The 14,390-nt window shown below is 33.5% G+C and overlaps 1 protein-coding gene across 13 annotated transcripts in view; it reads left to right on the forward strand.

The window, feature by feature from the left end:
* MIPOL1 (mirror-image polydactyly 1) overlaps nucleotides 1-14,390 on the forward strand; it is a 354,425-nt gene that overhangs the window by 320,731 nt on the left and 19,304 nt on the right. The window contains exon 13 of one of the 13 annotated variants that reach the window (NM_001388069.1): nucleotides 2,291-4,170. The exons of the other annotated variants lie outside the window; for them this stretch is intronic. Coding sequence (NP_001374998.1) covers nucleotides 2,291-2,588 — 298 coding nt within the window. The 3' untranslated portion in view covers nucleotides 2,589-4,170. Of the gene's footprint in view, nucleotides 1-2,290; nucleotides 4,171-14,390 lie in introns of those variants that run through there. 13 annotated transcript variants of the gene reach the window in all.

Here is a 14,390-nt window from a genome sequence, read left to right on the forward strand (position 1 = left end):
TATCCTCTGAAAAGGGCTTAAAAGCAACACACACATCTAGCATCCAGATTTTAGTTTCTAAGTACCATTTCCCATTAAAAAGTACCAAGCTTCTAGGTCTGGGTCAGGGAAAATACAGAGTAATCTGGGATGTCTTCTTGTGCCAAGAAACAAGCAAATGCTCACAGATTTAATGGGGGTTATATAGAAAGGACACATAAACCATCGTGAAAAGGTTCCCACTGACCAAATTTGGGATGTCTTGTGAATCAAAAAATAAACTCTTTGATTACAAAATATTGAAATTTTACATCTTAGAGTCTACAAACGTACTCAAAAACAAGAGATGAAGGATAAAGCGGAAACAGCCTTTTGTACAGAATAATGTCAGTTAATAAATGTAGAGAGAATGATACAATTAGAAAATCAGTACCTTGTAACTTGCAGTATAATTAATTCAAGCAAAGACCATGAATCAGCTATAAAATTAGTTAAAAGAAGCAACCTTGGTACTAGAATCAATCAGTCTAAATAGTTTGAGAGAGCTTACTTAGTATAACCAAGGGGTTTAGAGCTTAGAAATCAGGGTGGGTTTAGACATAGGGATTTAGGATAGCAACTGCCTTAGAACAATAATTTAGGGATTTATTATTAAAATTTACTTTGGGCATTTTTCTCACTCATGTATTCTGTGCTTATGTAAGTGATGGCAGATAGACCTAAACCACTCAACCCTTTATCAGAATTCATCTTTTAAAGAAACTACGAGGTAAAGAAGTTTTGCTTTAGAGACTGTCAGTGTTAGACTAGGTACTGATCCTTTCCTTATTTAAAATTTTGATATTTTTCTCATGAAGTTTTTGTTTTGTGATTTTAAAACTATTTTTATTAACATATTACTCATCTTGATTACTTTTTTTTACATCCTTTTAAATTTTAACCTGAGATGAGTGCCTCATTCACCTCACTCTAGTTCTAGCCTTGAATACCCTATAAAAGATGAAAAAGACACTGTTACAGGGGAAAAAAAAGACTGTTACAGGGGAACAAAAGACACTCCTAGTTTAGTCTCTTTAAAAATAGTAATAATGATAATGTTAACTTGCTAAGTTATCCTGACTTGTATGATTTCTATTGAATGGTATTTTATGTTTAGAAATGATAGTGATATCATAGACTTGAACAATTGTGGTTCTTCCACCTTGCGGAATTTGGCCAGGTTTTTAATTATATGGTGTCCATAAACCTTACCACTGTCTAAATTTTTATATCTCAATTCATGTTTGGAACCTTCACCACTTTTATCAACTGTTACTTTATCTTTATTTCAATCATCTTTTATACTCTATGTAGATCAATCATCATATCTATCAACAGGGGCCTGATTGCCTTCTAGACCTTAAATGTTGATCTAAATATGAGAATATATGGTTTTTATGAATCATGGTTAAATCAGGTAGGGAAAATGACTGTGATGATGCCAGCTTAATAAGTTGAATATTACTTTTACTTTGTAGGCCCATGGCTTAGTCTAAAATTTGAAGTTGCATTGATATATTATCTCTACTAGTCTCCCAAAGGATGTTGCCTGTCTTTTGAATTAAACTTGAGTAAGGTTGATTTGTATTCCCTGTTAATCAAAATTTGAAATGTTGACATTAGAAAATTTCATTCAGTGCTAATTATATATGACTTTTATGAAAGTTAGGAAGGAACGAATCCTACATTTTAAAGTTTAGTATCTGCCTAAAGCCCTATGAAAACAACAGTGAGTAGCTTAATAAGCCATCTTAATAAGATACCTTAATAAAACTAACCAGTTATTCTAGCTTGCTGCATTTCATTGGCAGTATAAAAATCAGTGACTCACTTCCTCCATCATTAATTGAAACTTTTCTGGGTTTAAAATGATCAAAACCCTTAGCAATGTTAAAGCAACATTTCTGAACCTTTCTTGCCTCTTGAATCTCTTCAATGTATATTCTCTAGGTAGTGTTTTAAACATATTTTTTTGCATTGGTATAAGATAAAGAAGTTAATTTACATTGATTGTTTTATAACTTTTATTTAAAACAATCTTTAATACTTATAATATGTAACATCACATGATGTTTGACTTCAGCTATATAAGAAAAATCACAATTTGTTAAATTTTATAATGAAATATTAAGTTGGGTTTAGGGACTGAATATAAAAAAGAAAGTAGATTAAAATTTAATAACATATTATGACATTAAATAACTGCTTGTGAGATGATATTTGGAATTCTTAACATTTTACTTTTTTTTTTTTTTTTTTTTTTTTTTTTAAGGCGGAGTGTTGCTCTGTCACCCAGGCTGAAATGCAATGGCAAGATCTCGGCTCACTGTGACCTCCACCTCCCAGGTTCAAGTGATTCTCCTGCCTCAGCCTTCAGAGTAGCTGGGATTACAGACACCAGCCACCACGCCTGGCTAATTTTTGTATTTTTAGTAGAGACAAGGTTTCACCATGTTGGCCTGGCTGGTCTTGAACTCCTGACCTCAGGTGATCCACCCGCCTCAGTCTCCCAAAGTGCTGGGATTATAGGTGTGAGCCACTGCGCCCAGCCACATTTACTTTTAAAATAAAACAATAGAGCCTCTGTTTTCTAGAATATTTTCACAAATAGCACATTGTGGGTGTTTTGGCCTTTATGCCAGTATATGAAAAACTAAATTGAGTATTATTATTCTAATTTGTTCTCTCTTTAACTTCATTTTTTAAGAAGCAGCTACATAATAGGTAATGTGAGTAGTGTGATCAAATGAACACAATTTATAGATCTCGTGAAGAGAATCCTGAGGTGAATTTACAGATTTATTTTTATGCTCCTCATTAATTTGTATTTCAACATCCATATACTTTCTGCTTGCTTTACTTCTTCAATGGCTATTAGCGATGGAAATTAAACAAGTTACAACTACCAAAGAAAAAAATTACGCTCTAAAACAACATGTTGGCCAGTTCTCTTCAGCTGAATGATAAACAACTCAGTCAGCTGATTGAGTCATGAACTATTCTGCGGATCTCTTCCAGTACTCCACTTTGCTCATTTGTGGGCTCTCAGAAGTCCTCAAACTATTCCATTTTAAAAAGCAAAAAAAGTTTAATAAAAATGTTATTCTTAGTTGCTTGAACCCAGAAGGCAGAGGTTGCAGTGAGCCGAGATCATGCCACTGCATTCCAGCCTGGGTGACAGACCAAGACTTTATCTAAAGAAAAAAAAATATATATATATATATATTTTTTTTTTCTTTGGCTTCAAAAATAAAACAGAGCAGAGAACATTACCACCTTTGGCTACATGATCTTTACATTTTTAAATTACAAAATTTTTACATGATGCTTTAGAGAATTTCATTGTGTAGTTTTTGCTCAACCCTTTTACTCTCATCAATTTAACACATTTTATTGTTTAAAAGTATTTATTTTGAAATACTAAAAAACATTTTTAAATACTTTTATTATTTATTAACAAAACACACCCCACAAATACATGCAAAAGTCAAATTATCTGAGTTAGCTAAATTCAGATACAGTATTGAAAGGACTTGTTTGCTAGAAAAAGTATGTGTTACATCATATTAATGTTAAGTGTTACTTTACGCATCTTCAAATAAGAAAACGTTTTCCCAAAAAGGAAATTTAATAGTTTGTTATAGAATAGTTTACCATATAACATAAAATACTAAGTAAATATTTTTCCCATCGTGGACAAAGTGTACAACTTAAAAACCTAATTTGTTTGTGTTAGTGGACTTACTAAATATTAGTCTTTGCTAGTCTAGTTTACACCATATATCGTTCTCTTATGCCAACCTTCTGATTTTGCTCTGAAGTATGCTGCAACTTACTATTGTATGATACTAGCCTCAGAGCTATCTTTTCCAGTTTACTGAGAATGCTTATTATACTCTGTAACCAATAAATCAATAAATCCTCATTGTAATGTGTAAACTCCCATCTCTGTGAAGTAGTTAAAAGCAAACTGTGAATGAACACATGAATCCAAAAAAAGTATGTTGTGATTATATTGACTCTGAAAACGTTTGAATTTCATAGAATACATCATTTATCGTGTAGTATAAATTGTTTGTACTATTGCTCATAATTTTTTGAATAATGAATCCAGTGAATAGTAAAATAATAAAAATGTTTGCATCCTAGGAATACATTTCAAGTAGTTATTCTGGAGAGCTACATGTTAGTGGGAAATTAATAGATATGAATCCTATTTTCTTACTTAGGGAGTGAAACTGGAACCCATTAATACAATTTTTATCCTTAGTAATTGAATTTAATATTGGTTTCATACATTTTCTATATCATGAAAATAAAAATAAAGAACTTTAAAATATCATTTAAGTAACAATTTAAACACAATAAACTCTACTCTAAGTAAATGTCTTTAGAAAGGAATCAGATCAGTGCATCAAAGATTTATGTTAACAGTCATGTCACCTTGCTTATGGCTTAATGAACAAGTTTCATTACTCATTAGAATTTGGGCCAAGTTCTAAGTATAATAGCTAGCCCATCTGTCTGCCTAATTATTTAATGAGTCCATACTTCTATGATAAAACTTAGCTTTGATACTGTTTTGTGATGGATTTTGTCCGTTTAAAAATAGCCCCTTTTGACTACTGGAAGTGGTTGTTTGTATTTTTTAAATGGTGATCTAGGTGTCCTAATTAGTTATCGTAAAGTGAAAATTTAAACACAAATCATTACAGATATCCCAGGAAGTAAATAGATGAGTTATAATAGCTAAGCCAAATATAAATATTAGAGTTTTTTTTTTCCAGATCTCAAATACAAATCTATTTCATTCCAAATAAAAAAGATGAAAGAGAAAAATTCCTAATGGATAAAAGAAGAAAGATTGTTGCACATTCAAAACAGGTCATGATTTAAATATTTTTCTGTCATAATTATAATAGTTAGATGTTGATCAATTGTATTCATGTCCTAATTCAACAGATTTTTTAAAAACATCTTCTGTGTGTTCCAGGCACTGTGTTAGGCACTGATGAACAAACTCAAACTGTATCTTGACCTCACTGTACCTTGACCTCGTAAATCTTTCAGGAGAGACATATTAAAATATTCATACACAGAAGTGTGTAATTATAACTTAGTTTAATATGATGAGGAAAAATTCCTAGGAATGCTAGGAAAGTATAACAGGCAGATTAAGATTTGTGGTAAGGGAAGAGGTGTTTCTCTGAGACCAGAAGTATAAATAGGAATTAGCCAGGAGAAAAAGCCTTCTGTATGGAAGCCAAAGCAAATAACTTGGCTTGTTGGAGAAACTGAAGGAAGATTTTTGCAGCAAAATAATGGTGCTTGGAGCAAAAAAGGAGGATGGAGTAGTATGCAGAGTCAGATCTTATAGAACCATTTAACTTTCGTTGTGGTTTTTATCTGTTATTTCCCATTTTTTGACTTTACCTTACAAGCAGTGGAAATTGTTGATGGATTTCAATCCGGGATATATTCTGATTTGCATTTTTAAAAGACTAACACTGACTGCTATGTGGAAGATAATTGGAATGAGACAAGAGTAGAAATAGACTCACTAGGAAGTAATAGAACTGATGAGAAATTGTGATAACTTGGATGTGGGGTGGGGGAGATTGAGAGAAATAGTGACATGAGATAAATTTGGACAGTAGACTTTCTGGAAAGATACAGGGTGTTGAGGAGAGTTCCCAGATAATTGTCTTGAACAGTCTGATAAATGGGAATACCATTTACTGAGATTTGGAAGACTGGAGGAAGAACAGAGTGAAATGGAACGACATCTTTAGCAGGTTGAATTTCAGTAGTATGTAAATTTCAGTAGTATATAAAATATCCAGGTGGATGTTCTTCTTGACATCTTAATTTTTCTTTTTCTTTTCTTTTTTTTTTTTTTTGAGATGGAGTCTCATTCTGTCACCCAGGCTGGAGTGCAGTGGCGCAATCTCAGCTCACTGCAACCTCTGGCTCCCAGGTTCAAGCAATTCTCTGCCTCAGCCTCCCGAGTAGCTGGGATTACAGGCACCAACCACCACACCTGGCTAATTTTTTTTGTATTTTTAGTAGAGACGGGGTTTCACCATCTTGGCCAGCCTGGTCTTGAACTCCCGACCTCGTGATCCACCTGCCTCAGCCTCCCAAAGTGCTGGGATTACAAGCATGAACCACCGCACCCGGCCTGAAGCTTATTTTAAAAAGACAAAGGAAGTATAATCATTAACATGAAAGACTACAAAATAAAACTGGAAATAAAATGAGCATGATTATTATCACAATAGAAATGTCAGTGAATGGACAGCTGCTAAAATATTTTGGCGAAATAAGAATAAAAGGGGTCCTTAAATAATGAAAGGATAGAAGATGAATGAGAGTAGTTCGTGTCCTACCTTGAGTTATTTGAAGGTACTTAGAGAATTATTTGAAACTTATTTCTTCTGCCTTCCAATTCAATTATTATTTTAATCAAGCATGTGCTATGCACCAAGCACTGAGGCAAGCACTGGGAATTACTGGTTAAATATAATTCAAGGCAGCAGCATCTGACATCACTGAGCATACAGTCTAGCAAGGGATACTGACCAGTAAACAGCAATCATAATAGGGGAAGTGTGTAGTACTGTGGGGACACTTAGAAAGGACATCTTTCTCCGACTTGGGTGAATCAAGGAAGGTTTTATCATTGTGAAAACCATATATTCCATTAACTCTTTGGGCTATGTTGCTGTAAGTCTTGATTACTTTTTAGAGTGTACCATAGAATATAATCAATTTTAGACCCTCCAAAAATATGATTTTAAAATATTGAATTTGCTATGGCATATGAACAATATTGTTCACCTACTAAAGGAATAACACAGAACCTAATCAGATCCATATCCCTCACTTAAAACCCTTGGGTTTATGTGTGTTTCATAATTCAGAATTTTCCAAATCTTATAAAAGGATGTTGTTCCCGGAAGCAGCCTATAATCAAACACATGAATGTTTCTGCAATGAGATATATGTGAATTGTCACCCTAAATCAGGTCAGGTTTTGCTGCAACAGGAGTGCAGCAAACTTATAAAAGTACTTTTTGTTTTTCAGAGCTTTCTGAACTTTGAAATTGTACATTAAAGGATTATGCATATAGCCTACTTGTCCGTAAGAAAAGTTGGACCTGATAAATTAACAGTAAAGATAACCAGTGAAGACTTTACATTGCTTTGTGCCCATATTAATTGTTGAAATTAAGGAGAACTCATTCAGTTAAATTTGTTCCTCTATGGTGTGTATTGAATATTCCTCAATGATGGAGAGAATCAATGGGAAAAAGTAGAGGATACTCTTAATGGCTTCTTTATCATAGTATTTCTAAGAGAGTATGGCATATCAAACGTTGTTAAAATTATAGAGACAGAAGAATCACCAAAAATGTGATAGATAACTTAAAATATGATTTCTTAATAATTTGACTAAATATTAGTCTCTCATAATCAAGCCTCTGTAGTCAGTGTAGTTGTATATATGCTTTTTTTTTTTTTTTGGAAATACTGAACACAACAAAACCTATCAACTAAATGCATTTTACACAGAATGACTATTATTCCTGATAAGGAATTTGTTATGCTGTGTTTAGAATTATTGCTGTACTATACAGTGAGAAGGCACTTGGAAAGGCAAAGTGGACTTTTACTTCTTTTCTTTTTTTTTTTTTTTTTTGAGACGGAGTCTCGTTCTGTCGTCCAGGCTCTAGTGCAGTGGCGCAATCTCGGCTCACTGCAAGCTCCACCTCCCCGGTTTACGCCATTCTCCTGCCTCAGCCCCCCAAGTAGCTGGGACTACAGGCGCCCGCCACCACACCTGGCTAATTTTTTGTATTTTTTTTTTTTTTTTTAGTAGAGACGGGGTTTCACCGTTTTAGCCAGGATGGTCTTGATCTCCTGACCTTGTGATCTGCCTGCCTCAGCCTCCCAAAGTGCTGGGATTACAGGCGAGAGCCACCGCACCTGGCCTGGTTTAATTTTTAAAATCTGCTGTTACAGACAGTGCTGTAAATGAGCAGTCTTCCTCAAACATATTTTTGTGTAGTTCTTTCGATAAATCTGTAAGATAAATTCCTAGAAATGAACATTTTGAGGTTCAAAAAATGTGTGTTCTTTTAATTTTGACAAAAATTGTCAAATTGTTATTTTAAAAAGTTATGTGAACAATATTTGAGAACAACAATGTCTAAGAGAATGCTTATTTCTGTAAGCATTCACTACTATTGAGTAAGTTGTTAGCCTTCCAGTGTGAAAGGTAAAAAATTATATTGTTCTGATATGCACTTATTTTATTAGGAATAAGATTAAGCTTTTAAAAATATTTTATTAGCAGTTTATTTTTCTTTTTATGTGAACTGCCTATTCCTGACCGGTTCCCATTTTTGTGTTGGACAAAAAATTGTTTATAAATCAATTTTTATTGATTTATAAAAACTCTGAGTAGTAAATAAATTAGCTTTTTATTATATGCACTGTAAGCAGTTTTTCCTGTTTGAAATTTTGCATGTTTTTTTTTAACAGAGAGGTTTTATTTTTCTTTTACAGTGTCAGAATTGTGTTAAATTGTGGTATTTTATGATAACAAACAGCTTGCCTTCTTTTGAGTTGCTTATTTGAGGTTATTATTATTATCATTTATGATTACCTAGAGAAAGCATTAGAACTGTTTGTAAACTTAGCCGTTGTGTTATTTTTTTCCATTTAAAAGAGTTATTTTTATTAATTAGAAGCCCAGTAGGTAATAGTTTTTATAACTTAATACTAATTCAGATTTGTTTATCTTAGCAAATAAGCTGTCATAGTTCTTCAGTCATAAATCATCTCTTCCAATGCAAATATCCTTCAGGGATAGAACAAACAGGATCAAAACACAGTGAGAGGTTTGAACCCTTAGATTCTAGATTGGGTTCATTTGAATGTGAGAGATTAAAGGAAAGCCTCTGAGATAGTCTTAACTGTATAAAAAACTCTGCTTCTTTTCATTCAAATATTGTAAATGCTTAATTATCAAAATTGTAGGGCCTTGACTTATGATGTTAGAAAAGAACAATAAAATAACATCTTTGTATACCACATGTCCCCTTAATTTATGTCTAGGTATGAAGAAGTAAAACTATAAAACCTGCCTAATATATATATTTAGTATAAACTCTGTAGCAACACAGCTGCATGTAGTTTTTGAGCTTAATTCTCTGTCAGGCTCATAAGATCCTAAAACCCTTGGAGAGTTCAGCAAAAAATAAATGAGAATAGGATGAAAAAAAAAGATTGCATTTTTTAACCTTTTAAATACCCTCATGTTCACTTTAGCAGTTATATACAAGTGTTTATCGTGATCAAAAGAAATATTAATATCTTTTTGATTGGCCAATCAGAAAATGCTTTTTTCATCCATCATACATATTTTTACAAATTACTAAAGTAATACACATTCATTTTAGAAAAAGTTTAAAATATAGCTAGGCAACTTGACATTTTTACAAAATGTTTTCATACAATACATATAATATTATGACCTGATTGTTTCACTTAGCATATTATGAAAAACTTCCTATGTTATTATATATAATCTTTTACATATGAAGAATAAACAATTTAAATGGCTTTAAGTCTATTCTATGATTGTACTATAATTTAATTGTTATTTTCAAATACCACTGCAGTGAAAATACTTAAAGCTAGATATTTGCACATATCTGTGCAAATGGAATTCTTGAGTTAAAGAATATTTAGAATTGTTAGAAAAAGTTTCTATCAGTTAGAAAAGCAATTAGGCTATTTATAGAGATATCCTTGAGGAACTGTGTATTTTTAACTCCCTTTAAGTATATGGAAAAGAGAGAAATATAGTACTTTTTTATAGCAGAAAGATAACATTTCATCTTGCCGTCTAATTATAAAGTGTATTATCATAATATTCTCTAAGAGTGATCTAAGTTGCAAAAGCCATAAAGATATATAGTAATAGCTAGAATTTAATTTGGATTTACTTATGGTACAAATACTGAGAAACTATTCAAAATTTCTGTACTTTTTAAATATGCTTTTTTTATAACTTTCAAAAACACTGGTACCTAATAGAAAAGAATGATGTGAAGCTGAAAAAGGCAGTGTGTGTCCCATCAAAGAGCTTCACTGCTATAGTTTGCACAGACTGAGAGAGAAGGTTTGGACAGTAGTTAGTAACTTCCTTGAGAATAGTCAGTCATCCTCTGTCCTCAGTAAGCATGTCAAAATAGTGGACCAGAGTTTTTGACAGATTAATGTGAGTGATTTAAATCTTCAGGTATAGAACATAGCATTCGAAGTACTATGCCTGTGGGAAGTTTTTGGCAAAAAGGTGACAAGTATGAATAACTCTTTCAACTTGCTTTTTACAGTTGGCAACACCTCTTCTTGCCATTTCATTGTAAGCATTAATAGAAAAAATGTCTTGTTAGTCTGACTACTTACTGGATGGAATTTAAAACATTTTATCACTTTTTGGAAAGATGTAGGATTTTAGTGGAAAATGTAGACTAGTGTAAGAAAAAAGCAACAAAATTGATTTTATTTTCATCTCTGTTACCGTTATTACAAGATATAAAGACAGCTAAATCAAAAAAATTGTGTCATGTATTTAGCACTACTGGTTGGATACATTAAAAGCATTTCATACCTCCTTTGCCCACGAGAATTTTATACTGCTGGTTTTGAGTTGTTTCCTAATACTGCTGCAGTAAACATACTTGTACCTAAATATTTGGAGAGGGTTCAAGTGCCTGCAAATAGAATTAAGTTTAAAAGTATCTGGTATCTTGTAATTTGTGTATATGTATGTATATATATAATGCTAGTAATATATTGCCATAATTTTCTTTGTTCATTTATTATTTCATAGAGTAGGATGGCACTAAGTAACCTCTTAGTTGTTCAGTACAGGTAATACGGCGACAAGGAAGGCTTCAAGGAAATTTAACTTGGCCCTGTAGAATGGGTGGGATATGAATTAGCATAGGGGAAAGAAGAGAGGGTAATACAGAGGAGAGAAGTAGCAGAGATGAAGCACAGGTACAAGAGTAAATATAATCTATGAGAGGAGCTGCAGAGAGGTCACCCTGGCAGGAGCGGAGGCTCCTGGAGCATGAGATCAGATAAGCGAGACTAGTCTGAATTACTGAGAGCCTTCAAAAGTATGCAAATGCATTTAGATTTCCTGTGATAGGAAATAAGAAGCCATTGCAGAGTTTTTAAAGCAGTGGCGATTACTTGATGAAAATAGCATTTTAGGAGCATCAATCTCTCACTTAGCATTGGAAGATTTATTAAATCAGGTTGGTGTTAGAGGTAAGAGTACCAGCTAAGAAGTCATGATAGTATAGTATTTTAAGATAGACAAACAATGTACTGATGTAGGTTGGTAGCAGTGAGAATGGGAGGAAGAAATTCATATCAGAAACATTATCGACAAAATGTGATTCAATGACCAACTAGATGTGAAGGGTAAAGAATTCAGCATCTTAAGGTTCTCTGCATAAGAGATAGGAAAAACACAGTGCCATTAATAGAACGTCTTTATTTCAATACTAAGAACTAATTTCATTTTCTTTTGTGTAACCCTAACTTATAAACTTATGAGAAAAAATATTAAGTTGAGTTTGAGAAAAGTACGGCCAGATGGCAGATATAAAACTCATCAAAATTGGCTTCTAGAAACTGACAAGGAAAAGAAAGGAAGGGCTTGTAAGGATTCTTCTCTGGGAATAATAGAAATACCCATGAGAATTTCTATGGAATGATAGCAATTTAGATTGTATAACCCCATTTCCCAAATAATTAAACTCTTTCCATGGAGTTTAGTGCTAAAAGTCAGAATGTCCAAAGTTATTCTGAATGATAAAGATTATTCATAAGAGCTGTATCTCAAGCCGTTCAAAGATAGGCCAGATGTCAAGGCTGCAGTTTGAGGTATCATCCTTCAGAAGGCAATAATATGTAACTCCTCTACTGGGCAAACAGCAGATCACTTTCTGAAGTGATGTCATTCAGATTGAGAATTATCAGAAGTAGCCTGATGTGTGAATATTTTAAAGTCCAGATATAAGCAGCTGGAGGCTGCATGTAGAAAGGATTTTTTTTTTTTTTAAGATGGAGTCTCACTCTGTCACCTAGGCTGGAGTGCAGTGGCATGATCCCGGCTCACTGCAACCTCCGCCTCCCGAGTTCAAGCAATTCTCCTGCCTCAGCCCCCCGAGTAGCTGAGATTACAGGTGCCCGCCCCCACGCCTGGCTAATTTTTGTATTTTTAGTAGAGACGGGGTTTCACCATGTTGGCCAGGCTGGCCTCAAACTCCTGACCTCATGTGATCCACCCACCTCGGCCCCACAAAGTGCTGGGATTACAGGCGTGAACCACCGCGCCCAGCCAGAAAGAATTATACTAATTATTTTGTTTAAGAAGGCACATGATGAAGGATGGACAATGAATAGTTGTAAATCTTTGCTTATTTGCCTCTCTTTGTTCCTGCCAGACTGACCTCTATGCAGTTCCTCTCATAGACTATATTCGCCCTTGTACCTGTGCTTCATCTATGCTGCTTTTTTCCTCTACGTTACCCTCTTTTCTTTCCTCTTTGCTTATTTGTATCCCACCCATTCTACAGGACCAAGTTCAATTTCCTTGAAGCCTTCCTTCTCTCTGTATTACCTGCACTGAACAACTAAAAGGTTACTTAGTACCATCCTATTCTATGAAATAATAAATGAACAAAAAATATATATATTAATATATTACTAGCATGATATATACTTATAAGCTAATAAGCAAATATTTACAGCAACTATTCATTCATATTATCTAGGTGATTTACTCAAAATAGGTATTTCTACCAAAGTTGGGAAACAAAACACATACCAGAAGAGGCAGATAACTGCGTGTCACCCAAACCTAAACTGATCTAAGGAAAAATAACAAATTACAACTTTCACATGTCATGTTTTGTAGAGTTTTTGAAAATCCTTGAGGATTTTGTCAGGAGACAGGTTTGTGGCTATTCTCTTAGCACACAGATGAGAATTGTTCTACTAATTAAGATGAAACAATAATTTTCATTGGCCTTACAGAGCTGGCACTGTAGGTGACTATATGGTACATTGAGGGGAGAGAAGGGGACCTATATGCCTCCTCTGCTCTATAAGCTGTCATCTTGGTGGACAGAGAAGGTGGTGGGCCAGTCCTTGTGTCCTTTCCACCTCCCATGCCCGCCGTACATTACCCATCTGTTCAAAAGGAGAGGAAGAGGCATTAAGGGATGGAGGGTGACTATGTATTACTTACGCATTTCTGAGTAAATTGACAAAGTGTCTTTCGTAACTCTCTAAATCATAATCATTATAAATAAATGAGGCCTTAATTGTTTGCTGCCAATTTCCAGATGTTTTCTAGAATATATAGATTTATATAAATTGTTAACAGTACAAATATACTGTAAGTCTAAAGGAAATCACATGAAAAGTCCATCTCTGTGATCACTCACAGTAAATAAATTTGAACATAAGTGTAATTCACACTTAAGATCATTGTAACTCAGTCCCTGATATAGTTTACTAGTGTCCTGTCAGTTTGAAAGAGTTAATGTGTTCCTATGTTACTAACTTACTACCAAAGAATAATCTAGGTACTGAGAATAAAGCCCATTAATCCTTAATACTAACACTTTAACGCATAAAGAAAAGATGTATGTGATTTAATTTCAAGTCATCTATGGTGCTTGAGAAATATTAACTGTGAAGTGAATGGATATTAAAGAATGAAAATTACATTTGCAAGTGGCATATGAAAATCAGGAATCAGGAAAAAAAATGAAAGTCAGTCTTACAGTCTTACTAAGAGAATAGTCTCAAACCTGTCTCCTGGTAAAATCCTCAAGGATTTTCAGAAACTCTACAAAACACGACATGTGAACATGGTAATTTGTTATTTTTCCTTAGATTAGTTTAGGTGTGGGCAGTATGCAGTAGCTACCTCTTTTGGTATGTGTTTTGTTACTGAACTTTGGTAGAAATACCTATTTTGAGTAAATCACCTAGATAATATGAGTAGTTGCTGTAAATATGTGCTTATTAGCTTATGTATATATATGATGCTAGTAACATATTAATATGTTTTTTCTTGTTCATTTATTATTTCATAGAGTAGGATGGTTCTGAGTAACCTCTTAATTCTTCAATCTTTCTCTGCATTCAGAATTCCTTGTCTATAAAATACAAAAAAAGTGTATATGTTTGTACACTATTTTGTGATAAATGAAAATATATGCATATGTGTTATAGGCTTTATAACATTTTCTATATTCTATGTTGTGATA

The sequence above is a fragment of the Homo sapiens genome, chromosome 14 (assembly GCF_000001405.40).
Source record: "Homo sapiens chromosome 14, GRCh38.p14 Primary Assembly".
Taxonomy (NCBI): Eukaryota; Metazoa; Chordata; class Mammalia; order Primates; family Hominidae; genus Homo; species Homo sapiens.